General features: G+C 40.9%; 1 protein-coding gene and 1 pseudogene across 1 annotated transcript in view, besides 9 other annotated features; one reads left to right on the top strand and one right to left on the bottom strand.

The window, feature by feature from the left end:
• Window positions 1-20,694, bottom strand: part of CYP2C19 (cytochrome P450 family 2 subfamily C member 19) — a 92,867-nt gene extending 72,173 nt beyond the window's left edge. Inside the window, exons 1-5 of the mRNA NM_000769.4 lie at window positions 20,502-20,694; window positions 8,155-8,317; window positions 7,836-7,985; window positions 2,716-2,876; window positions 1,378-1,554 (exon numbers count right to left, since the gene is read on the bottom strand). Coding sequence (NP_000760.1) covers window positions 1,378-1,554; window positions 2,716-2,876; window positions 7,836-7,985; window positions 8,155-8,317; window positions 20,502-20,669 — 819 coding nt within the window. The 5' untranslated portion in view covers window positions 20,670-20,694. The remainder of the gene's footprint in view (window positions 1-1,377; window positions 1,555-2,715; window positions 2,877-7,835; window positions 7,986-8,154; window positions 8,318-20,501) is intronic.
• MTND4P19 (MT-ND4 pseudogene 19) lies at window positions 8,747-19,949 on the top strand (annotated as a pseudogene).
• Window positions 20,671-22,634: a promoter, noted in NCBI's record as "-1.9 kb promoter". NCBI's record gives the evidence for it as "EXISTENCE:reporter gene assay evidence [ECO:0000049][PMID:16540586]".
• Window positions 20,804-20,833: a protein binding site, noted in NCBI's record as "ERE". NCBI's record gives the evidence for it as "EXISTENCE:protein binding evidence [ECO:0000024][PMID:20675569]".
• Window positions 20,806-20,824: a protein binding site, noted in NCBI's record as "DR1-B". NCBI's record gives the evidence for it as "EXISTENCE:protein binding evidence [ECO:0000024][PMID:16540586]".
• Window positions 20,815-20,844: a protein binding site, noted in NCBI's record as "GATA site". NCBI's record gives the evidence for it as "EXISTENCE:protein binding evidence [ECO:0000024][PMID:20206639]".
• Window positions 20,841-20,859: a protein binding site, noted in NCBI's record as "DR1-A". NCBI's record gives the evidence for it as "EXISTENCE:protein binding evidence [ECO:0000024][PMID:16540586]".
• Window positions 22,400-22,426: an enhancer, noted in NCBI's record as "GRE". NCBI's record gives its function as "mediates response to glucocorticoids" and the evidence as "EXISTENCE:reporter gene assay evidence [ECO:0000049][PMID:12869636]".
• Window positions 22,544-22,563: a protein binding site, noted in NCBI's record as "CAR-RE, proximal". NCBI's record gives the evidence for it as "EXISTENCE:protein binding evidence [ECO:0000024][PMID:12869636]".
• Window positions 22,544-22,563: a protein binding site, noted in NCBI's record as "CAR-RE, proximal". NCBI's record gives the evidence for it as "EXISTENCE:protein binding evidence [ECO:0000024][PMID:12869636]".
• Window positions 25,149-25,443: an enhancer, noted in NCBI's record as "tiled region #9306; HepG2 Activating non-DNase unmatched - State 24:Quies". NCBI's record gives its function as "activates a minimal TATA promoter and a strong SV40 promoter by Sharpr-MPRA in HepG2 cells {active_cell/tissue: HepG2}" and the evidence as "EXISTENCE:reporter gene assay evidence [ECO:0000049][PMID:27701403]".

Here is a 25,729-nt window from a genome sequence, read left to right as displayed (position 1 = left end):
GTAAAGCATTCCAACCCATCTGAAACCCCTCTTCTGACTCTCACTGCAAATATTTTAAGGCCTATTTCAATCTGCAGGAATGCAGGAAACCCACCTAGGTTAAACCATTCTTTCCCATTCTCCAATAAACTGTGTGCAATAATGATGCCCATTTTCATCCTATGACATAATATTTTATATTTTCTAACTTGTTCATAATTGCTTCCATTTCACCTAAAACCTGCATTTTGTTTCCCCTTGGGTAGATTTTTGTTATTGTTATTATTATTATACTTTAAGTTCTGGGATACATGTGCAGAACGTGCAGGATTGTTAAATAGGTACACACGTGCCATGGTGGTCTCCTGCACCTATGAACTTGTCATCTACATTAGGTATTTCTCTTAATGTTATCCCTCCCCAAGCCCTCCACCCCTTGACAGGCCCCAGTGTGTGATGTTCCTCATCCTGTGTCTATGTGTTCTCATTGTTCAACTGCCACTTATGAGTGAGAACATACGGTGTTTGGTTTTCTGTTCCTGTGTTAGTTTACTGAGAGTGGGGGCTTCCAGCTTCATCTATGTCCCTGCAGAGGACATGAATTCATCTTTTTTATGCCTCCATAGTATTTTATGGTGTATATGTGCCACATTTTCTTAATCCAGTCTGTCATTGATGTACATTTGGGTTGATTCCAAGTCTTGGCTATTGTGAATAGTGGCACAATAAACAAATGTGTACATGTGTCTTTATAATAGAATAATTTATAATCCTTTGGATATATATCCAGTAATTGGATTGCTGGGTCAAATGGTATTTCTAGTTCTAGATCCTTGAGGAATTGCCACACTGCCTTCCACAATGATTGAACTAATTTACGCTCCCACAAACAGAGTAAAAACATTTCTATTTTTCCACATCCTCTTCAGCATCTGTTATATCCTGACTTTTTAATGATCGCCATTCTAACTGGCATGAGATGGTATCTCATTGTTGTTTTTATTTGCATTTCTCCAATGACTTCTTTTGAAAAGTGTCTGTTCATATCCTTCACTCACTTTTTGATGGAGATGTTTTTTATTTTCTTTTAAATTTAAGTTCCTCCTGTGCTGATCTCACTGGAAGCTGCAGAACAGAGCTTTTCCTATCCTGACATCCTTATTGTTCAGATAGATTATATTTATCTAAACAATTTCTTCTATGTATTCTAATTATTTAACAATTTAATTTTACATTTTCTATGATGCTTACTGGATATTCATGCATACAATAAAAACTTAAATATGCTTCTCAAGCATTACTCCTTGACCTGTTAAACATCCGTAGTAAACACAAAACTAGTCAATGAATCACAAATACGCAAGCAGTCACATAACTAAGCTTTTGTTAACATTTTACCTTCTCCATTTTGATCAGGAAGCAATCAATAAAGTCCCGAGGGTTGTTGATGTCCATCGATTCTTGGTGTTCTTTTACTTTCTCCAAAATATCACTTTCCATAAAAGCAAGGTTTTTAAGTAATTTGTTATGGGTTCCCGGGAAATAATCAATGATAGTGGGAAAATTATTGCATATCTAAGAGAAAACAATAATTTATTAAATTAAAAGCATTTAATAAAGGTATAGATACAATATGCCAAGCTCTGGTTGTAATTTAAAACTATAAATATAAATAAAATATATTGTATATCTTGATGGGGAAATTTTTATTGTACATGTGTAGTAATTCTCTGATTATACAAGATTTGAGAAAGAAAATTCTGACAAGAGAATCAAAGATGATAATCATTTCCTAGACTTATACCTGCTTTTGATAGTATAAAAGCATCTTTATATTAATTCTCTTACTTTTTACAACAATTCTTCTCTACAATCTTGAAATATAAGATGGTATGAATTACTACATTAACATTTTGGAGATGATAGCATAGGTTAAAAGAGTTTGCACAACCTGATTGATACTACAAAGATAGTCCCTGCTATATTGATTTCTATCAAGCAGCCTCTGAAATTGAATTAGTATTTTAGAAGTGGGAGGGGCTCAAAGATACTTCAAATTCCAACTGTGCACCAGAGCAGTTAAATGACTTCTGTAAAATCATACAATTATTATTTAGGCAGAGTATAAAACATGCCAATTCAGCACAGGGTAAAAGTGTGATGTCTGTTTATGGTTCATACACCAAAAAAACAATAATTTTTTCATTCCTAACCAGCTGTCTCATCAGCTAGAATCCCAACTGAGACATCAAACACCTCTGCCCTATTCAGTGTTTCTTGGCAGCTTCTGTGGTTCCAAATATTCTCTGTCCTTGAAGGAGATAATGTCTTTTAGATTAGGATATTTCTGTCACACAATATGACAAAGTGTGAATTGAAGGACAAGCCTTGTGAGTAATGGAAGACTCCAAAGTGCCTGGATGTCCATGGAGTGATATAAGCACGCTTTGGGGCTGTCACCAAAGTACTTTATAGAAACAGGGCTTTGGAGTTTAGTGGAAAAAACACTGATCAGGGAGCTAATGGGCTTAGAAGCCTGATCTATATTGGGATATTCATTTCCTGTGCATAAAATAAAGAACTTTGCCATCTTTTCCAGATATTCACCCCATGGCTGTCTAGGCAAGACTGTAGTATTCAAAAATGTACTTCAGGGCTTGGTCAATATAGAATTTTGGATTTCCCAGAAAAAAAGACTGTAAGTGGTTTCTCAGGAAGCAAAAAACTTGGCCTTACCTGGATCCAGGGGGTGCTTACAATCCTGATGTTTTCATTCAATTTTTCCATCAAGTTAAGAAATTGCTGATCTTTATAATCGAAACGTTTCTGGAAAATAATGGAGCAGATCACATTGCAGGGAGCACAGCCCAGGATGAAAGTGGGATCACAGGGTGAAGCTAAATGATTGGAAACAATTTTAAAATATGAGTAAACATTAGATATAAAACACTTCATATTTGTTAACAGATAATAATAGTTTAGAAATTTTAAGTAATATCTTACCTATGAATTCCCTTAAAAGCAAAAAAGAGTTTGGCATGCATAAAATCAACACATCACTTTTACATTAATCTCGAATTAACAATTACAGCCTAGCTGGTTAAATAATGGTTGCTCAAATGCTAAATTTACATTCCCGGCCTATTTGTCTTTTACTTTGGAAAGAAAAAAAGAGACTTTTTTAGAAACCAAATAATTCAAGTTTCAGAGGGAATCACATCAGTCTGCAAAGTCTGTAGACAACAAAGCACTGAGATAGAAAGGGTGAGAATAGTTGGGGATTTCAAAGCTTTTTATATTACAACAAATAGCTCAAAGAATCATGTATTGAACCAGTAGAGAGGAACTAGAGAGACTAGGGGTGAATTCATGTATTTGAGAAAATAAATGTAAGAAGCAGAATGTGTTTTATGAGAACAAATACAAACATAAATGAATAGAATGTCTAACATAGATTAGTTTGTCAAAAAAATTAAACAAAAACTTGTTATTTGAAATGTAAATCCCAGATAAGGCAAACAAGGAAAAGTAAATTAGATAGGGCACACTGGCTCATGCCTGTAATCCCAGCACTTTGGGAGGCCAAGGCAGGTGGATCACCTGAGGTCAGGAGTTCAAGACCAGCCTGGCCAACATGGTGAACCCCATCTCTGCTAAGGATGCAAAAATTAGTCGAGTGTGGTGGTGGGTGCCTGTAATCCCAGCTACTTGGGAGGCTGAGGCAGGAGAATCACTTGAATCCAGGAGGCAGAGGTTGCAGTGAGCTGATATCACACAAGTGCACTTCAGCCTGGCAAAAGAGTGAGACTCCAACTCAAAAAAAAAAAAAGAAAAGAAAAGAAAAAGGAAAAAAAGTAAATTAATAAATGGAGTTTTTAGTTTCTTCTTTAGTTTTTTAAAAATGAATTTTCTTCTCTAGGAATTAAATGCCCATCATCTCTAATCATCCTTCAAATTTAACTTATTTGAAATTTGACATTGATTAGACCAAGTCTATCATTTAATAGCTAAATAAATTAAATTATACAAAAGGTTTTCTTGTTTGGTGGAGGATCTCTGAAATAAAGTTGTTGTAATCAAGTGATTGTTAAACTTTATATTTTTTAATTTTTAATTTTACTTTAAGTTCTGGGACACGTGTGCAGAATTGTGCAGATTTGTTACATAGGTATACATGTGCCATGGTGGTTTGCTGCATCTATGAACCTGTCATCTAGGTTTTAAGCTCCACATGCATTAGGTATTTGTCCTAATGCTTTCCCTCCCCTTGCCCCCCAACCCCTCAACAGGCCCTGGTGTGTGATGTTACCCTTCCTGTGTCCATGTGTTCTCATTTTTCAACTCCCACTTATAAGTGAGAACATGCAGTGTTTGGTTTTCTGTTCCTCTGTTAGTTTGCTGAGGATGGTGGTTTCCAGCTTCATCCATGTCCCTGCAAAGGACATGAACTCATTCTTTTTAATGGCTGCATAGTAGTCCACAGTGTATATGTGCCACATTTTCTTTATCCAGTGTGTCATTGATGGGCATTTGGGTTGGTTCCAAGTCTTTGCTATTGTAAATAGTGCTGCAATAAACATACGTTTGTATGTATCTTTATAGTAGAATGGTTTATAGCCCTTTGGGTATATACCCAGTAATGGGATTGCTAGATCAAATGGAATTTCTGGTTCTAGCATTGAGGAATCGCCACACTGTCTTCCACAGTGGTTGAAATAATTTACACTTCCACCAACAGTGTAAAAGCTTTCCTATTTCTCCACATTCTCACCAGCATCTCTTGTTTCCTAACTTATTAATGATCACCATTCTAACTGGCATGAGATTTTACCTCATTGTGGTTTTGATTTGCATTCTCTAATGACCAGTGATGAGCTTTTTTTCATATGTTTGTTGGCCACATAAATGTCTTCTTTTGAGAAGTGTCTGTTGATATCCTTCACCTACTTTTTGATGGGGTTGTTTGTAGGAGATCCATCAGAGTGGTGGGAGAAAGTATAGGGAAAGGAGCAGGCCTTCTGAAAGGTCGGAAGGCTCTGCATAGTTTCAGGTGAGAATAGCTGAACGCAGCTGTTCTCTGACCGTGAGGGAGAGGACGAGGAGTATGTACAAGGGAGGGAAGGGGAAGTCATCTTGAACAGGCTTGTTTACTTATGTTGACCAGGAACTGACCTTTGATCATCCATTCTTGATGTTCCCTGAAAGGGGAACAATAAATATTAATTACCTACAGATTGCATGGGCTCCAGGTTTTCAGCATTGTGCCTGCACTGAATAAAAACATGCAGCTCCAGCTTCTCGAGGCTACACTCTGGCCACTTGAGCCAGACAGTCCCCTAGCTGCTCTTACACCTCATACCTGTATATGAGTACTCATTTCATCCATTGGCCAGGGTCTGCAGGACAGACCCAGCAGTTTTTTTTTGTTGTTGTTGTTTTCTTTTTTTCTTGTAAATTTGTTTAAGTTCCTTGTGGATTCTGGATATTAGACCTTAGTCAAATGGACAGATTGCAAAAATTTTCTTCCATTCTGTAGGTTGCCTGTTCACTCTTATGATAGTTTCCTTTGCTATGCAGAAGCTCTTTAGTTTACCATTTGTCAATTTTGGCTTTTGTTGCCATTGCTTTTGGTGTTTTAGTCATGAAGTCTTTGCCCATGCTTATGTCCTGAATGGTATTACCTGGGTTTTTCTCTAGGGTTTTTATAGTTTTAGGTTTTATGTTTAAGTCTTCAATCCATCTTGAGTTAATTTTTTTATAAGATGAAAGGAAGGGATCCAGTTTCTGTTTTCTGCATATGGCTAGACAGTTTGTCCAACACCATTTATTAAATAGGGAATCTTTTTCCCATTGCTTGTTTTTGTCAGGTTTGTTGAAGATCAGATGGTTGTAGATGTGTGGCATTATTTCTGAGGTCTCTGTTCTGTTCCATTGTTCTATATATCTGTTTTGGTATCAGTACCATGCTGTTTTGGCTACTGTAGCCTTGTAGTATAGTTTGAAGTCAGGTAGCATGATGCCTCCAGCTTTGTTCTTTTTGCTTAGGATTGTCTTGGCTTTACAAGCTCTTTTTTGGTTCCATATGAAATTTAAAGTAGTTTTTTCTAGTTCTGTGAAGAAACTCAATGGCAGCTTGATGGGAATAGCATTGAACCTATAAATTACTTTTGGCAATATGGCCATTTTCACAATATTGATTCTTACTATTCATGAGCATGGAACGTTTTTCCATTTGTTTTTGTAATCTCTTAATTCCCTGAGCAGTGGTTTGTAGCTCTCCTTGAAGAGGTCTTTCACATCCCTTTTAAGTTGTATTTCTAGCCATTTTATTCTCTTTGTAGCAATTGTGAATGGGAGTTCACTCATTATTTGACTGTCTGCTTGTCTATTATTGGTGTATAGGAATGCTTGTGATTTTTGCACATTGAATTTGTATCCTGAGACGTTGCTGAATTTGCTTATTAGCATGAACAGTTTTGGGGATGAGACAATGGGGTTTTCTAAATATACAATCATGTCATCTGTAAACAGAGACAATTTGACTTCCTCTCATCCTATTTCAATACCATTTATTTCTTTCTCTTGCCTGATTGCCCTGGTGAGAACTTCCAAAGCTATGTTGAATAGGAGTGGTGAGAGAGGGCATCTTTGTCTTGCTCTGGTTTTCAAAGGGAATACTTCCAGATTTTGCCCATTAAATATGATATTGGCTATGGGTTTTTCATAAATAGCTCTTATTATTTTGAAATATTAAACTTTATATTTAAAGAGCTTCCAAATTCACACCTATAGGCCCTAAATAGTGACTTTAGTCAAAAGTACTCTGAATGAATAGCAAGGCATTGAACAGCTGGAAGTCTGTTGAGTGTGTGTGTATCATTCACAGATAAATCTGATTTTCAGTCTTTCACTTCATTTGGAAAACAGAATTTAAAAATGAGGTAATTTGGTATCCAAGCTGATAAACTGATTCATTGTAAAACTTCATAGGTGAGTAGAGTTGGCAGTGGAAAATAATAATTACCATAAATTTCTAAGCCAAAATTTCATAAATATGATTGGAAAGAGATAAGCAAAATGAAACAGAGCCAAATTATACTTAAGGAATAAAAATTACAGTTATTACTAATAATTAAAATCTAGTTAAATAAATTATTTTATAAATAGACATTTGTGTATTTCACAGAATTATGTCATAGCATATGTTTACTCAAAATCAATAGAGTAACAAGAAATAATTAACACTATTTTTTAAATAATGCTGTATTTACAGAGAAATAAAAGCTGATGAGAACTACACTAAGATATGCCTAAGCAATAAAAACTGTAGAATGTCATTACTGGCCAGAATGGCAAGCATGGGCCTAAAAGAAACCCTAGACAAGTCAGTGAGGCTGACCATACAAACATAGTCCAATTAAATAAAAGCACATGCCATTTGGTTCATGCTCCCTAGGGGTGTGATAGGGCCATTTCCACCATGTCCACTTGTCAAGTATTCTCTGGTGACATGTTCTGGAATAGATAATGGGAAAAACACTGCTCTTTAACTCTTTCAAAAAATGAACTCAAAATCTATATTCATCATTTCTTATTTGAAAACAAAGAAGCAAAGTTCAGGAGAACATAGGATTAAATGAACTTTTATACCCACACTGTATGCACAATCATGCCTGTACACACACAGCACAAACATGTGCAAATTCCCTTGGCTCTCAGCTTCAAACCCTGCTTCACATGAGCTAACAACCAGGACTCCAAATAAAAGATCTGGCCACCCCTGAAATGTTTCCAAGAATGTCAGTAGAGAGGAGAGCAGTCCAGAAAGGTCAGTGATAGAGAGTATGTTCACCCACCCTTGGTTTTTCTCAACTCCTCCACAAGGCAGCGGGCTTCCTCTTGAACACGGTCCTCAATGCTCCTCTTCCCCATCCCAAAATTCCGCAGCGTCATGAGGGAGAAACGCCGGATCTCCTTCCATCTCTTTCCATTGCTGAAAACGATTCCTAACAGGAAGAGAAACGAAACTAGGAGGGAGATCCCAGGCAAGAAAGAGGAAGCTGACACTGGGCAGCCATGTGGATGGGCCAAGCTCTGCCCGAGAAGCTCTGCTAGTCTGTTTTCCATCCTCCCCATCCCCAAGACAGATGCTGAAACAGGCACTTGCACACCTACCAAATCCTCTGTTAGCTCTTTCAGCCAGTGGGAAATGGCCTCTTCCAGAAAACTCCTCTCCAAGATCAATCAGGGCTTCCTTCACCACTTCATATCCATGCAGCACCACCATGCGTTCCAGGCCAAAATACAGAGTGAACACAGGGCCATAGATTTTTGAGAGCTAGAAAAGGAGATACAGTTAACAGCAAATGAAGTCACTGTTTTGTCCATTTACTAAGCCTGACTTAGATTCATATTTTCATTGTATTTGTATGCTTTTATTCAGTCACACAGGCTCAAATATTTCTGAATTTTATATATAAACATGATGATGATTATTATACTTGCCACTCAGATGGCCTATGATGTTCAAGGCAATGGTCAGACAATTGCTACACAGATTACAATTAACCCTCACACCAACATATTCAGCAGGTCTATTTGCTCTATTTTAAACAAACAAACTGAGCTAAGAGAATGACAAATTCATTTTCAGTGTCCCACAGCTAATATACAGAAGACCCAAATTTGAAACTTCACTTATTCAAACACTCATGCTTGAGAAATTTATCAGCACTCTTGTGTCTACCTTAAGACAAATACCCAGCTTCAAGAACTAACAATTTCCTGGTCCAACAGTCTTTTATGATTAGCATGCATCATAGCATTTATAGTAAAAGCACCTCTCTATGGAATCCACCTAGAACTCCCAAAAGCCCATGTAGAGGTCCCGATTGCTGGGCCAATAGTCTCCACAGCAGTACTCCTAAAATTAGGTGGCTATGGGATTATAAGAATCACCCTAATCCTTAACCCCTTAACAGAGTTTATAGCTTATTCCTCCCTCATACTATCCCTATGAGGAATAATCATAACAAGCTCAATTTTTCTGTGCCAAACTGATCTAAAATCACTCATTACTTATTCCTCCATAAGCCACATGTCACTTATTATCATGGCTATTCTCATTAAAACCCCCTGAAGTTTTACCGGTGCAACTGCCCTAATAATTACCCATGGACTAACCTCATCCCTATTATTCTGCCTTGCAAATTCCAACTACAAACAAGTACACAACTAAACTGAGAGGTGAAGCCATCTGGGCTTCTGTGTCGGGTGGGGACTTGGAGAACTTTTCTCTCTAGCTAAAGGTTTGTAAACACACCAATTAGTGCTCTGTATCTAGCTAAAGGTTTGTAAATGCACCAATCAGCACTCTGTAAAAATGTACCAATCAATGCTCTGTGTCTAGCTAAAAGTTTGTAAACACACCAATCAGCACTCTGTAAAATGGAACAATCAGCACTCTGTAAAATGGACCAATCAGCAGGACATGGGTGGGGCAAATAAGGGAATAAAAGCTGGCCACCCAAGCCAGCAGTGGCAACCTGCTCAGGTCCCCTTCCATATTGTGGAAGTTTTGTTCTTTCACTCTTCACAATAAATCTTGCTGCTGCTCACTCTTTGGGTCTTCACTACCTTTATGAGCTGTAACACTCACTGCAAAGGTCTGTAGCTTTTCTCCCAAAGCCAGCAAGACCACAAACCCACCAGGAGGAACGAACAACTCCAGATATGCCACCTTTAAGAGCTGTAACACTCACTGCAAAGGTCTGCAGCTTCACTCCTGAAGCCAGCAAGACCACAAACCCACCAGGAGGAATGAACAACTCGACACACCACCTTTAAGAGCAGTAACACTCACTGAGAAGGTCTGTGGCTTCACTCCTGAAGTCAGCAAGACCATGAACCCACCAGGAGGAATGAACAACTCTGGATGTGCCATCTTTAACAGCTGTAATATTCACTGTGAAGGTCTGCAGCTTCACCCTTGAAGTCAGCAAGACCATGAACCCACCAGAAGGAAGAAACTCTGGCCACATCTGAACATCTGAAGGAACAAACTCCAGACACACCATCTTTAAGAACTGTAACACTCACCATGTGGGTCCGCAGCTTCATTCTTGAAGTCAGTGAGACCAAGAACCCACCGGAAGGAACCAATTCTGGACACATTTTGGTGACAATGAAGGGACTTTTGCCTATTGCCAAGCAGTAAGTACCACTGGATCCCTTTCACTTGCTGTTCTGTCCTATTTTTCCTTAGAATTCAGGGGCTAAATACTGGGCACCTGTCAGCCAGTTAAAAGTGACCAATGGCCGGGTGCGGTGGCTCACGCCTGTAATCCCAGCACTTTGGGAGGCCGAGGCGGGTGGATCATGAGGTCAGCAGATCGAGACCATCCTGGCTAACAAGGTGAAACCCCGTCTCTACTAAAAATACAAAAAATTAGCCGGGCGCGGTGGCGGGCGCCTGTAGTCCCAGCTACTCGGGAGGCTGAGGCAGGAGAATGGCATGAACCCAGGAAGCGGAGCTTGCAGCGAGCCAAGGTTGCGCCACTGCAGTCCGCAGTCCGGCCTGGGCGACAGAGCGAGACTCCGTCTCAAAACAAAAAGTGACCAATGTGGCCACCAGACTAAAGACAGGGGTGTCAGGCTTTCTGGGAAAGGGCTCTCTAACAATCCCCAACTCTTTGGAGTTGGGAGCGTTGGTTTGCCTGGAACCAGCTTCCACTTTTCCTGTATTTCTGGGCTGCGCCAAGGGTTGACAGAGAGGAAAGCCATTCAGCTCCGGGGTCCCGACAACAAGTTGGTTGACCCTGTGGCCATGAGCAGAACTCTCAAAGTCATGTCACCCAAGAGAGACTTGCCTATCTATCCTAGCTATCCTGACCCTTGCCTCCTGGGTCCTAATGCCTGCCAGACAAACTTCCTCTTGCCTCTCTTCTCCAAGGCTAGTCCCGCTTCTAAAAACCACTGCCTGTCTCTGGTGCTTTTCTAGTTTCTCCTACATGAATGATTTCTAGTATAAACTCCAGGACTCTGTTACCTTCTTTAGGCACCCGGGCTCACCAATCAGAAAGACATAATTTTTGCCCAAAGCCCCATTTTAGGGGGTACTATCTGGAATTTTAGAATCCCTCCTCAGACAAGCAGGCCTAACAAAAACTATTCCTGAAGCTAGGATATGGGGATCCTCAGAAATTCTATCCTTCCTGTTCATATAAATGAGGACAAAAGGCATCACACTTCCAACTCTGGAGATCCCTTCCCTCCCTCAGGGTATGGCCCTCCATTTCATTTTTGGGGCATAACATCTTCATAGGACACAGGTAAAGTCCCAATACTAACAGGAGAACACTTAGGACTCTAACAGGTTTTTGAGAATGCATTGGTAAGGGCAACTAAATCTGATTTTTCTCAGTCCTCTTTGTGGTCTACGAGGACAGGCAGGGGTACACGTTTTCAAGAATGCATTGGTAAGGGCCACTAAATCCGACCTTCCTCAGTCCTCCTTCTGGTCTAGGAGGAAAACTAGTGTTTCTGCTGCTGTGTCGGTGAGTGCAACTATTCTGATCAGCAAGGTCCAGGGACTGTTTTGGGTTCTTGGGCAAGAGGTGTTTCTGCTGCTGCATCAGTGAGTGCAACTATTCTGATCAGCAGGGTCCAGGGACTGTTGCAGGTTCCTGGGCAGGTAGAAACAAACAAACCAAAACCATGGAGAGTTTTGTCTTTCCGATGAGAGACAATCAGGCATCAACAGGCTCACCCTTGAAATGCATCCTAAGCCATTGGGACCAATTTGACTCACAAACCCTGAAAAAGAGGTGGCTCATTTTTTTCTGCACTATGGCCTGGCCCCACTATTCTCTCTCTGATGGGGAAAAATGGCCAACTGAGGGAAGTATAAATTACAATGCTATCCTGCAACTTGACCATTTCTGTAAGAGGAAAGCCAAATGGAGTGAAATACCTTATATCCAAGCTTTCTTTTCATTGAAGAAGAATACACAACTATGCAAAGCTTGCAATTTACATCCCACAGGAGGACTTTTCAGCTTACCCCCGTATCCTAGCCTACCTATAGTTCCACTTCCTATTAATGATAAGCCTCCTCTAATCTCCCCTTCCCAGAAGGAAATAAGCAAAGAAATCTCCAAAGGACCACAAAAAACCCCGGGCTATCAGTTATGCCCCCTTCAAGCTGTAGGGGGAGGTAAATTTGGCCCAACCTGGGTACATGGCCGCTTCTCCCTCTCTGATTTACAGCAGATCAAGGCAGACCTGGGGAAGTTTCCAGATGATCCTGATAGGTACATAGATGTCCTACAGGGTCTAGGGCAAACCTTCGATCTCACTTGGAGAGATGTCATGCTATTGTTAGATCAAACCCTGGCCTTTAATGAAAAGAATGTGGCTTTAGCTGCAGCCTGAGAGTTTGGAGAGACCTAGTATCTTAGTCAAGTAAATGATAGAATGACAGCTGAAGAAAGGGACAAATTCCCTACTGGTCAGCAAGCCATCCCCAGTATGGATCCCCACTGGGACCTCGACTCAGATCATGGGGACTGTAGTCATAAACATCTGTTGACCAGTGTTCTAGAAGGAGTAAGGAGAATTAGGAAAAAGCCCATGAATTATTCAATGATGTCCACCATAACTCAGGGAAAGGAAGAAAATCCTTCTGCTTTCCTCGAGTGGCTACAGGAGGCCTTAAGAAAATATACTCCCCTGTCACCCAACTGACTAGAAGGTCAATTGATCCTAAAAGATAAGTTTTTACCCAATCAGCTGCAGATATCAGGAGAAAGCTCCAAAAGTGAGCCCTGGGCCCTGAACAAAATCTGGAGGCATTATTAAAACTGGCAACCTCAGTGTTCTATAATAGGTACCAAGAGGAACAGGCCCAAAAGGAAAACTGAGATCAGAGAAAGGTCACAGCCTTAGTCATGGCCCTCAGACAAAGAAAGCTTGGTGGTTCAGAGAGGACAGAAAATAGCAGGCCAATCACCCAGTAGGGCTTGTTATCAGTGTGGTTTACAAGGACATTTTTAAAAAAGATTGTCCAATGAGAAACAAGCCACCCCCTCACCCATGTCTGCTATGCCAAGGCAATCACTGGAAGGCACACTTCCCCAGAGTGCAATGGTTCTCTGGGCCAGAAGCCCCCAACCAGATGATCCAACAACAGGACTCAGGGTGCCCAGGGTAAGTGCCAGCCCATGTCATCACCCTCACTGAGTCCTGGGTATGTTTAACCATTGAGGGCCAGGAAATTGACTTCCTCCTGGACACTGGTGTGGCCTTCTCAGTGTTAATCTCCTGTCCTGGATGACGGTCCTCAAGGTCCGTTACCATCTGAGAAATCCTGGGACAGCCTGTAACCAGGTATTTCTCCCACCTCCTCAGTTGTAATTGGGAGACTTTGCTCTTTTCACATGCCTTTCTTGTTATGTCTGAAAGTCCCACACCCTTATTAAGGAGGGATATATTAGTGAAAGCTGGAGCTATTATCTACATGAATATGAGAAACAAGTTACCCATTTGTTGTCCCCTACTTGAGGAGGGAATTAACCCTGAAGTCTGGGCACTGGAAGGACAATTTGGAAGAGCAAAAAATGCCCACCCAGTCCAAATCAGGCTAAAAGACCCCACCACTTTTCCTTATCAAAGGCAATATCCCTTAAGGCCTGAAGCTCATGAAGGATTACAGGATATTGTTAAACGTTTAAAAACTCAAGCCTCAGTAAGGAAATGCAGCAGTCCCTGCGACACCCCAATTCTAGGAGTACAAAAACCAAACAGTCTGTGGAGACTAGTGCAAGATCTTATACTCATCAATGAGGCAGTAATTCCTCTATATCCAGTTGTACCCAACCCCTAAACCCTGCTCTGTCAAATACCAGAGGAAGCAGAATAGTTCACTGTTCTGGACCTCAAGGATGCCTTCTTCTGTATTCCCCTGCACTCTGACTCCCACTTTCTCTTTGCCTTTGAGGATCCCTCAGACCACACGTCCCAACTTATGTGGACAGTCTTGCCCCAAGGGTTTAGGGATAGCCCTCATCTCTTTGGTCAGGTACTGGCCCAAGATCTAGGCCACTTCTCAGGTCCAGGCACTCTGTTCCTTCAGTACGTGGATGATTTACTTTTAGCTATCAGTTCGGAAGCCTCATGCCAGCAGGGTACTCTAGATCTCTTGAACTTTGTAGCTAATCAAGGGTACAAGGCGTCTAGGTCAAAGGCCCAGCTTTGCCTACAGCAGGTCAAATATCTAGGCCTAATCTTAGCCAGAGGGACCAGGGCCCTCAGCAAGGAATGAATACAGCCTATACTGGCTTATCCTCACCCTAAGACATTAAAACAATTGTGGGCATTCCTTGGAATCACCGACTTTTGCCAACTATGGATCCCCGGATACAGTGAGATAGCCAGGCCCCTCTGTACTCTAATCAAGGAAACCCAGAGGGCAAATACTCATCTAGTAGAATGGGAACCAGGGGCAGAAACAGCCTTCAAAACCTTAAAGCAGGCCCTAGTACAAGCTTCAGCTTTAAGCCTTCCCACAGGACAAAACTCTTTATACGTCACAGAGAGAGCAGGGATACCTCTTGGAGTCCTTACTCAGACTCGTGAAACAACCCCACAACCAGTGGTATACCTAAGTAAGGAAATTGATGTTGTAGCAAAAGGCTGGCCTCACTGTTTATGGGTAGTTGTGGTGATGGCTGTCTTAGTGTCAGAGGCTATCAAAATAATACAAGGAAAGGATCTCACTGTCTGGACTACTCATGATATAAATGGCATACTAGGTGCCAAAGGAAGTTTATGGTTATCAGACAACTGCCTACTTAGATATCAGGTGCTACTCCTTGAGGGACTGGTGCTTCAAATACATACAGGCATAGCCCCCAACCCTGCCACTTTTCTCCCAGAGGATGGGGAACCAAGGTATCATGACTGCCAACAAATTATAGTCCAGATTTATGCCACCTGAGATGACCTCTTAGAAGTCCCCTTAGCTAATCCTGACCTTAACCTATATACCGAAGGAAGTTCATTTGTGGAGAATGGGATATGAAGGGCAGGTTATGGCAAAGTTAGTGGTGTAACTGTACTTGAAAGTAAGCCTCTTCCCACAGGGACCAGTGCCCAGTTAGCAGAACTGGTGGCACTTACCCGAGCCTTAGAACTGGGAAAGGGAAAAAGAATAAATGTGTATACAAATAGCAAGTAGCTTATCTAATCCTACATACCCATGCTGCAATATGGAAAGAAAGGAAGTTCCTAACCTCTGGAGAAACCCCCATTAAATACCACAAGGGAATTATGGAGTTATTGCACTCAGTGCAAAAACCCAAGGTGGTGGCAGTCTTACACTTCCAAAGACATCAGAAAGGTGAAGGAGAAAAGGCAGAAGGAAACCATCAGGGAGGTGCTGAGGCCAAAATTGCTGCCAGGTGGAACCTCCCATTAGAAATACCTATGGAAGGACACTTGGTATGGAACAAACCCCTCCAAGAGATTAAGCCCCAGTATTCCCTGACTGAAACAGAATGGGAACTTTCACAGGGGCATAGTTTTCTCTCCCCTCAGCGTGGTTAATGACAGAAGAAGGACAGGTACTTATACCTGAAGCCAGCCAGTGGAAAATACTTAAAACCCTCCTCCAAACTTTTCATATGGGTATTGAAAACACTCATCAAATGGCCAAATCCCTATTTACAGGGCCAAATCTCCTCTGGACAATCCGACAGGTAGTCAAAGCCTCTGAGGTGTGCCAAAAGAATAATCCCTTGGTCCATCATAGGGCCCCTTTGGGGGGAACAAAGAATAGGTCACTATCCTGGAGAGGAGTGGCAGTTAGATTTCACCCATATGCCTAAGTCAAAGGGATTTCAATACTTGTTGGTCTGTGTTGATACCTTTACAAATTGGATAGAAGCTTTCCCCTGCAAGACAGAGAAGGCTGAGAAAGTGATTAAAGTCCTAATTCATGAAATAATTCCTAGATTTTGGCTTCCCCAAAGCTTACAGAGTGACAATGGTCTGGCTTTTAAAGCCATAATAACTTAGGGAATTTCCAGGGCACTAGGGATACAATATCACCTTCACAGCACCTGAAGGCCACAATCCTCAGGGAAGGTCAAGAAGGCAAATAAAACAGTCAAGAGGCACTTAAGGAAACTAACACAAGAATCTCATTTCCCATGGCCTACTCTTTACTCTTTTGTCCATGACCTTGTTGAGAATCCGAAATTCTCACAAAATGGGGCTCAGTCCAAATGAAATGCTGTATGGATGGCCTTTTTTCACAAATGACCTCCTACTTGATCAGGAAACGGCCAACTTGGTCAAAGATATAACTTCTTTGGCAAAATATCAATGAAACCTTAAAAACCTACCTGAAGGATATCACAGAGAAAAGGGAACAGAGTTGTTTCAACCAGGAGATCTAGTGTTGATCAAATCTCTCCCCTCTACCTCCCTATCTATGGCCTCTTTGTGGGAAGGACCATACTCGGTAATCCTCTCTAACCCCACTGCTGTTAAGGTTCAGGAATGGAATCTTGGATTCGCCACACCTGAGTTAAATTTTGGACATCCCCTGAGGAACCTGCAGTACCATCAGCTCAGGAGTCCCAAGATCAGCCAGACCAGCCTCAATACACCTGCGAACTGTTGGAGGACTTGCATCTCTTATTTCAGAAGGAAACATCCCAGACTAAAAAGGCTCCTACCACCGATCCTGAAGAAAAACCCCTTCCTCCTTAAAAAAGATAAGTGAAAACCTACATAATCTTTATCTTTAACACCTCTTCTTGCCCCTTTAATGGAACCCTTTTACTATTTCATCATATTATTAAGCAGCATATTAACCATACTCTTTGCAATAGGACTATATACTGTAGCTCCTGCTGGGATGAAAATCCTAATCACATCAACCTTTTTTCTGTCTTCCTTCCTTCTGACAGCAATTTACTCCTACCTTTTACTCGGCCTGGATAAAATGATCTCATCTTCCAGAGCACCATCTTTACCTTCCTATTTATTCTTTGCCTATCTATCCCTCCTGCTTCCTTGGATACCTCAATCACCCCTCCCCTTCCACTAGCTCCTAATTATCTCTACAAGACTCTCAGATTAACCCACTCTTTGTTAAACCAGTCCAATCCTTCCCTGGCAAATGACTGTTGGCTTTGTATCTATCAACCTCTGCTTATGTTGCCACCCCCATTCCCACAAAAAACTGGATCTTTACCAAATTAACCTACCACCTTCATTATGACGGAAAAGACCCTTTCCAACTTCTAAATATGCAATCATTAGCTGACTTCTCCATCTCTGATAGGACCAAGAATACCCTAACAGGACGTGCAATCCAACTTTTACATTCTTACATTTCCAACCTCACCTATTACACAAGCAATGAAAAGCCCATACACAGCCTTGTAACTACAAATACCATCTTAACTTTCCAAGCCCCTGTATGAATGCAATGCAACCTGTTATCAGGCCTGCCCCTGAGGCACCTACTACCCCATCAGTGTAATTACACCCTACAACTTCAAGCCCCAACTGATCATAGTAACTTCTGAGTCACTCAAACAGCTCTATCCAGATGGATTGTCCGCTTCTCAGGGCCCCAAAATATCATCACCTCCTCCCTGCTTAACAAACAGTCCAGGCTTTGTAATGGCAAACATACTCCCTGCATGACCATTCACCCCTGGATCCCCTGCAGCAGCTCCCCCACCACTAGTAAATGTTTTCTCATCCCCTTTCAATCACTCTCTTGAATGGTTCCTAGTAGACACAGAACGGTTTTTTCTCCAATGGGAAAATAGAACACACGGAGCCACTCAGTTTGCTCCCAACACCCCTTTCCAGCCACTCACCAGAGCTACCTTGGCAAGTACTCTAGGAGTATGGGAAAATGAAAACAACAAACACACACCTTTTTAACATACACAACCAGTTGTGTCTACCCAGCCAAGGTATATTCTTCTTATGTGGAATGTCGACCTATATCTGCCTTCCCACTAACTGGACTGGCACCTGCACCTTAGTCTTTCTAAGTCCCAACATTAACATTGCCCCAGGAAATCAGACCCTATCAGTACCCCTCAAAACTCAACTCCATCAGTGCAAAGCCATACAACTAATATCCCTACTTATAGGGTTAGGAATGGCTACTGCTACAGGAACCAGAATAGCCAGTTTATCTACTTCATTATCCTACTACCACACACTCTCAAAGAATTTCTCAGACAGTTTACAAGAAATAACAAAATCTATCCTTACTCTACAATCCCAAATAGACTCTTTGGCAACAGTGACTCTCCAAAACCACTGAGGACTAGACCTCCTCACTGCTGAGAAAGGAGGACTCTGCACCTTCTTAGGGGAAGAGTATAATTTTTACACTAACCAATCAGGAATAGTATGAGATGCCACCCAGTGTTTACAGGAAATGGCTTCTGAAATCAGACAATGCTTTTCAAACTCATACCAACCTCTGGAGTTAGGCAACATGGCTTCTCCCCTTTCTAGGTCCCATGGCAGCCATCTTGTTATTACTCACCTTCAGGCCCTGTATTTTTAACCTCCTTGTCAAATTTGTTTCCTCTAGGATCAACGCCATCAAGCTACAGATGGTCTTACAAATGGAACCCCAAATGAGCTCAACTAACAACTCCTTCCAAGGACACCTGGACTGACCCACTGGCCCTTTCACTGGCCTAAAGAGTTCCCCTCCGGAGGACACTACAACTGCAGGACCCCTTCTTCACCCCTCTCCAGCAGGAAGTAGCTACAGCAGTCATCACCGAATTCCCAACAGCAGTTGGGGTGTCCTGTTTAAAGGGGGGATTGAGAGGTGAAGCCGGCTGGGCTTCTGGGTCAGGTAGGGACTTGGAGAACTTTTCTGTCTAGCTAAAGGATTGTAAACACACCAATCAGTGCTCTGTGTCTAGCTAAAGGTTTGCAGATGCACCAATCAACACTGTAAAAATGCACCAATCAGCTCTCTGTGTCTAGCTAAAGGTTTGTAAACACACCAATCAGCACTCTGTAAAAACAGATCAATCAGCACTCTGCAAAATGGACAAATCAGCACTCTGTAAAATGGGCCAATCAGCAGGACATGGGTGGGGCCAAATAAGGGAATAAAAGCTGCCCACCTGAGCCAGCAGCGGCAACCCTCTTGGGTCCCCTTCCATGCTGTGGAAGCTTTGTTCTTTTGCTCTTCACAATAAATCTTGCTGCTGCTCACTCTTTGGGTCCACACTACCTTTATGAGCTATAACACTCACCGCAAAGGTCTGCAACTTCACTCCTGAAGCCAGCGAGACCAGAAACCCACCAGGAGGAATGAACAACTCCAGACATGCCACCTTTAAGAGCTGTAACACTCATTGCGAAGGTCTGCGGCTTCACTCCTGAAGTCAGCAAGACCATGAACCCAGCAGAAGGAAGAAACTCCAGATGCATCTGAACATCTGAAGGAACAAACTCTGGCACAATATCTTTAAGAACTGTAGCACTCACCACGAGGGTCCGTGGCTTCATTCTTGAAGTCAGCGAGACCAAGAACCCACTGGAAAGAACCAGTTCCAGACACAAAAGCATACTAATAACACGGGGCCTTCAAACACTGCTCTCCCTGAAAGTGATGACCCTTAACTAGCCCCACCAATCTTGCCCTGCCCCCTACCATCAATCTAGTAGGAGTAGTCTTCATAACTACAGCCTCATTCTCTTGATCTGATCATACCATCATGCTTATAAGGCTTAATATACTAATCGCAGCCCTTTACTCTCTGTATATGCTAATAACTACACAATGAGGTGTATTCACATATCATATTAACACTGTTAAAACATCTTTTACTCAAGAAAAAACCGTAATGCTTATACATCTTCTAACCCTCTTTCTACTATTACTAAACCCTAAGGTCATTTTGGGGTTTATATATTGTAGCTATAGCTTAATTAAAACATTAGTTTGTGGATCTAATAATTGAAGTCTATAACTTCTTATCTACCGCTTATCTGCTTTTGCTGGTCCTAAACCCACAGCTGCTTCCTTTACAACAGGCATAAATTATTTCTTCAGAGAAGTTCAATTTTCACGGCTATTCTGAATAAAACACATGGCTAATATAGTAGAGGACTTATTTAATAAAATCTCTAATAACAAACACTTCCCTTACTGTTTACCCTCAGCCAAAAATTCTAGCAAATGGCTATGAAATAAAGAAGGAACACAACATTTCAAACTATTGACAGTTTGTTATTCTGAATTTAACATGCAAAGACCTAAATCTTTCTCTAATAACAAAATATATTATTTCATTCCACTATTTCTGACACTGACAGACTGGAAAAGGCAACAAAAGCCTTTCAAAGTATTTTACTTTACAATGATCTCTTGTAACATTGTACCTCTAGGGATATACTTTATTTAAAAAATACAGGTGAATTTACTTACCTTTTGCAAGCCACTGAAGGAGCATACTTACATTGGTTAAGGATTTGCTGACATCCTTAATATCTATCTGTAGGATATTTCCAATCACTGGGAGAGGAGTGGGGCCAGGAGGGAGTTTTCCTCTCCCAGAGCTCTGTCTCCAGATTGAAAGGAGAAGCAAACATGAGAGACAGAGCACAAGGACCACAAAAGGATCCATTGAAGCCTTCTCCTCTTGTTAAGACAACCGTGAGCTTGCACTCCAAGCTTTTTATAACACTCCATGCTAATTAAGTGTGTGTGCCTCTTTGATGGATAAAGTGGCCAATCACCTAGGCCCACTATATGCTCCTTCTGAAAGGACTTTGACCCACTGATAGAGATAAAAATAAAATGTCCTTTGGTCTTGTTCTCCTTCGTCCCAGTGCCCACTCTGTACATTCTGGTTTCATTGTACTAGGTTGAAGCCTAGGTATTGGTAATAAAAACAAAAAAATGTTAACCCAAGTGGTTCCAATGCACCGTCATAATTGAGAGCACTGAAGTAAACAATCTGATGCAAAAACAATTACTTAAAATTCTGAATTCTTAGATTAATAACCAGTTGGGAATTTATGATTTAACGGAAATGGCCATATTCTATGCCTTGTATATTTAAAAAGTATGTCAATCCTATATCGAAGATTAGGAGACTTTGTCCTTTATAATGAAATCCTCTATTTAATATAGCCTACTAAAAATACAGCAGCCTAAACATGAAATAGCTAACATAACTCATATATCTTCAATAACCAAACATATATCAAGTAAATTACCTTAGCAGATATAAACACCTTTACCATTTAACCCCCTAAAAAAACACGTGAAGGCAGGAATTGTTATTTTTTATATTTCAAATGGGAAAAGGGAGACCCTGGGAGAACAGGACACCTGTTGGTGCCACACAGCTCATAGCTGGCAGAACTGGGATTTGAGCTGAGGTCTTCTGATGCCCATCGTGGCGCATTATCTCTTACATCAGAGATGCTTTGAGAACAGAAGACACAAATTTGAAAAAAAAAATCGTTTGCTAAAACTTTGTTTTAGCAAAACAAAACAACTTCCAAACATTAGTTATTCTGAATATATACCACATTCATCCTGTTCATAAAACAGGCTTCACATTAAATAGAACCACTTATTTATCTAAGGAAAACAGCCCCAGAGATGCTCATGAGAAAAAATAAGAGTTCTCCCTTCTCCATCACTGCAGAGGGGAAACGCTCAGTGTAACTGAAGGAAGAGCTGATCTCAGAGAATTTGGTGCTAAGGGCTTGAGAAACTAAGGCTTCTTGACCTCCTGGTCTCCTCCAGACATGGCTGCTTTATATTGATTTTGCTTTCTGATTTTCAAAAAAAAATGTAACAATGCAAAGCAAGCATAGGAAATTATGGGCAGAACAACAGTTGTGAATCTAATAGAGGATGGGAGGTAGGGAAATCACTAAATGGACCCACAGCACAAAACCACCACAATGTATAGACCTTAACGGGAGCTGACATTTGAGTTGAAGGTCTAAATACAACCAGAAAGATACACATTACTAGATCACTAACGACAATACTTACACAAAGCCATTTTCTTTAAAGATATCATCGTATTTGTTCTAAATTTCCTAATGAGGTTATTTCCAGTTCTCTTATTAAGAAAAAGTAAGTTATGTTAAGACACAATTGCACAATGTTTCACTGGTCATTTTTAACAGGGATTCTAACCCCATTTAGAGAGAATTCTCACACCTCATATCCCTTTGGAATCTCTCAATTGCCTTTGCTTACAATAAAATTGACCCATCTCAGGAATGAGGAGGCTGAGCCTTGAAGATTCAGTACTGTAGCCAAGAACATGGTGTCTGCTGGTGCTAGAGCTGAGACTAGAATTCATAAGCCCTGCATCTTGAAGGTTTCATTTCAAGCAAAACATTCAGTTCAATTGAGTCCACAGATATTTACTGATTGTGTACAATGGTTCAGTATTTCGTGATTCAGTCTAGTAAATGATTTTCAAAATAAATATTAATTTCATTAATAATTACAGCCCAAGTTGACTAGATTGGGGGTCAGAAGAGTTTGGTTTTATAACCTTTAGTACTTGGGTGAGTCCAAGGCCTTGGAGAACCCTTTATACAGGGCAAAGAAAAGCAATAACTTGGTCCCTGACTCACGTAACTTTAAACTCTAACAGAAATATACTACCTTAGTTTGGGTAAGATAAGCTTGGTTGCTCTCTTTAGAATAATCATTTCATTCCTTGAGAGCTAGGTGTTCCAGTTCTGCTCCTCCTCTCTTCTGCTAAGTTGAGGCTCCTCCCTAGATCTTTCAGTTTATACTATGAAAGAATTATAGATAATTTGAAGACAAAAGGGATCTCTGAGATCAACTATTCTAAACAGGAATTGATTTTTTTTTTAAATGAGCAATTGTTGACTCAGTGAGACAAAGTATCACAATGCCTCAGTATAAGACTTAGAATCACAGTTTTTCAACTCCCAGTTCAGTGACATATCACATCCCGTCTCATAGAATTCACATCTCAGTCCAAGTGATCAGGGGAGTATCAACATTAAGCCCTCCACAGTCACTGGGTAATACAAACCTCAGCTTGACTAGAATGGTGGGTTAAAGTAGGCTTTAGAAAAATGTATTTCTTAACAGCAGTTTGGGGTTTCCAGCAACACTAAGTGGAAAGTGGAAAGTATATAATTACCACATGCCTCTTTCCCTGCACCCACACACAGCCTCTCACAATCAAGAACTCTCATAGGTTACAATCAATGAACCAACATTGACACATCAACAACCAAAGCTCATAGTTTCTGTGGGGTTCATTCTTTGTGTTGTACATTCTATGGGATTTGACTAATGCATAATGACATGTATCCACCATTGTAGTATCATATAAAATAGCTTTACTGCCCTTAAAACCCTCTGTGCTCTACCTGTTCACCCTCTCTTCCTCACGAGCCCTAGCAACAAATAATCTTTGCAGTGTTGGCATAGTTTTGCCTTTTCCAGAATGTCATATGTTTGGAATCATACAGTATGTAGCCTTTTAAGATTTAACTTACTAATATGTATAAAATTTCTCCATGTCTTTTCATGGCTTGATAGTTCATTTCTTTTAACACTAAATAACATTCATTGTATAGGTTTACCATGTTGTCTATTCATTTATCTATTGAAGAACATCTTGGTGATTTCTAATTTTTGACAATGATGAATAAAACTGCTATAAACATCCATGTGCAGATTTTTGTGTGGAAATATATTTTCAATTCATTTGGCAAATGCCAAGGAGCACAACTACTAGATAATATAGTAAACATATTTTAGTTTTATTAGATACTGCCCAACTGTCTCCTGAAGTGTCTGTACCATTTTGCATTTCCACCAGCAATGACTAATAGTTCTCCTTGCTGCATATCCTTGCCAGTGTTTGGTTCTATCAGTGTTTTGAATTTTAGCCAGTGTATAAGTGTGTAATAGTATGTCATCGGGGTTTTAGCTTGCAGTTCCCTAATGACATTTAATGATTAGTACTTTTCATATATTTATTTGGTATCTGTATGTCTTCTTGGTGAGGTGTCTGTTCAGACCCGTTGCCCATTTTTTTAATCAAGGTGTCTGATTTCTAATTGTTGAATTTTAAAAATTTTGGATAGCCATCATTTATCAGATATATCTTTTGAAAAATATTTATCCCAGTCTGTGTCTTGTCATCTTATTCCCTTGATACTATCTTTTGTGGAGTAGAAGTTTTAAATTTTAATAAAGGCCAGCTTAGTTATTCTTTATTTCATGGATTGTGCCTTCATTGTAGTATTTTAAAAACCATTGCCAGATCAAGGTCATCTTTATTTTCTCCTACCTTATATTACCAGAGTTTCATAGTTTTGCATTTAGTATTTAGATCTATAATATATTTTTAGTTAACTTGCGTTAAAGATGTAAGGTCTATTTCCAGATTCATTTTTCTGTATGTGAATCTCCAGTTACTCCATTAGTCTTTGTGGAAAAGACTATTATTCCCCATTGAATTGCCTTTGCTTTTTTTTCAAAGATCAGTTGGCTGTATTTCTGATTATCTATTTCAGGCTCTTTACTCACTTGCATTAATCTATTTGACTGTTTCTTCACCAATTTCACATTGTCTTGATTACTGCAGCTTCATAATAAGTCTTGAAGTTGAATCAGACAAGGTTAATCACTTGATTTTGTTCTCCTTAACATTGGCTGTTCTGGGTTTTTTGGCCTCTCCATATAAACTTTACAATCAGACTGTTAATATCTAAAGATAAAAAATAATAAAAATAGAGGCCCCTCATTCCAAGATGGCCAAATACGAACAGCTCCGGTCTGCAGCTCCCAGGGTGATTGATGCAGAAGATGGCTGATTTTTGCAATTCCAACTGAGGTATCTTGTTCATCTCATTGGGACCAGTTGGACAGTGGGTGCAGCCCATGTAGGGCAAGCCAAAACAGGGTGGGGCATCGCCTCACCCAGAAAGCACAAGAGGTTGGGGGATTTCCCTTTTCTAGACAAGGGAAGCCATGAGAGACTGTACTGGGAAAATCAGGACACTGCCACCCAAATACTGTGCTTCCCCAATGGTCTTAGCAAATGGCACATTAGGAGATTCTACACTGTGCCTGGCTCAGCAGGTCCCATGCCCACGGAGCCTTGTTCACTGCTAGGACAGCAATCTGAGTTCGAACTGCAAGGTGGCAGTCTGGTTGGGGGAGGGGCATCCACCATTGCTGAGGCTTGAGTACATAAACAAAGCAGCCAGGAAGCTCAAGCTGGGTAGAGCCCACCACAGCTCAACCAGGCCTGCCTGCCTCTGTAGACTCCACCTCTGGGGGCAGGGCATTGCTAAACAAATGGCAGCAGAAACTTCTGCAGACTTAAACATCCCTGTCTGACAGCTTTGAAGACAGCAGTGGCTCTCCCAGCACAGTGTTTGAGCTCTGAGAACAGACAGACTGTCTCCTCAAGTGGGTCCCAGACCCCCATGTAGCCTAACTGGGAGACACCTCCTAGTAGGGGCTGACTGACACCTCACACAGCCAGGTGCCCCTCCGAGATGAAGCTTCCAGAGGAAGGATCAAGCAGCAATACTTGCTGTTCTGCAATATTTGCTGTTCTGCAGCCTCTGCTGGTGATACCCAGGAAAACAGGCCCTGGAGTGGACCTCCAGCAAACTCCCACAGACCTGCAGCTGAGGGAACTGACTGTTAAAA

This window comes from Homo sapiens, chromosome 10, assembly GCF_000001405.40.
Source record: "Homo sapiens chromosome 10, GRCh38.p14 Primary Assembly".
NCBI classification, from domain to species: Eukaryota; Metazoa; Chordata; class Mammalia; order Primates; family Hominidae; genus Homo; species Homo sapiens.
This window is presented reverse-complemented; position numbering and strand designations above follow the sequence as displayed.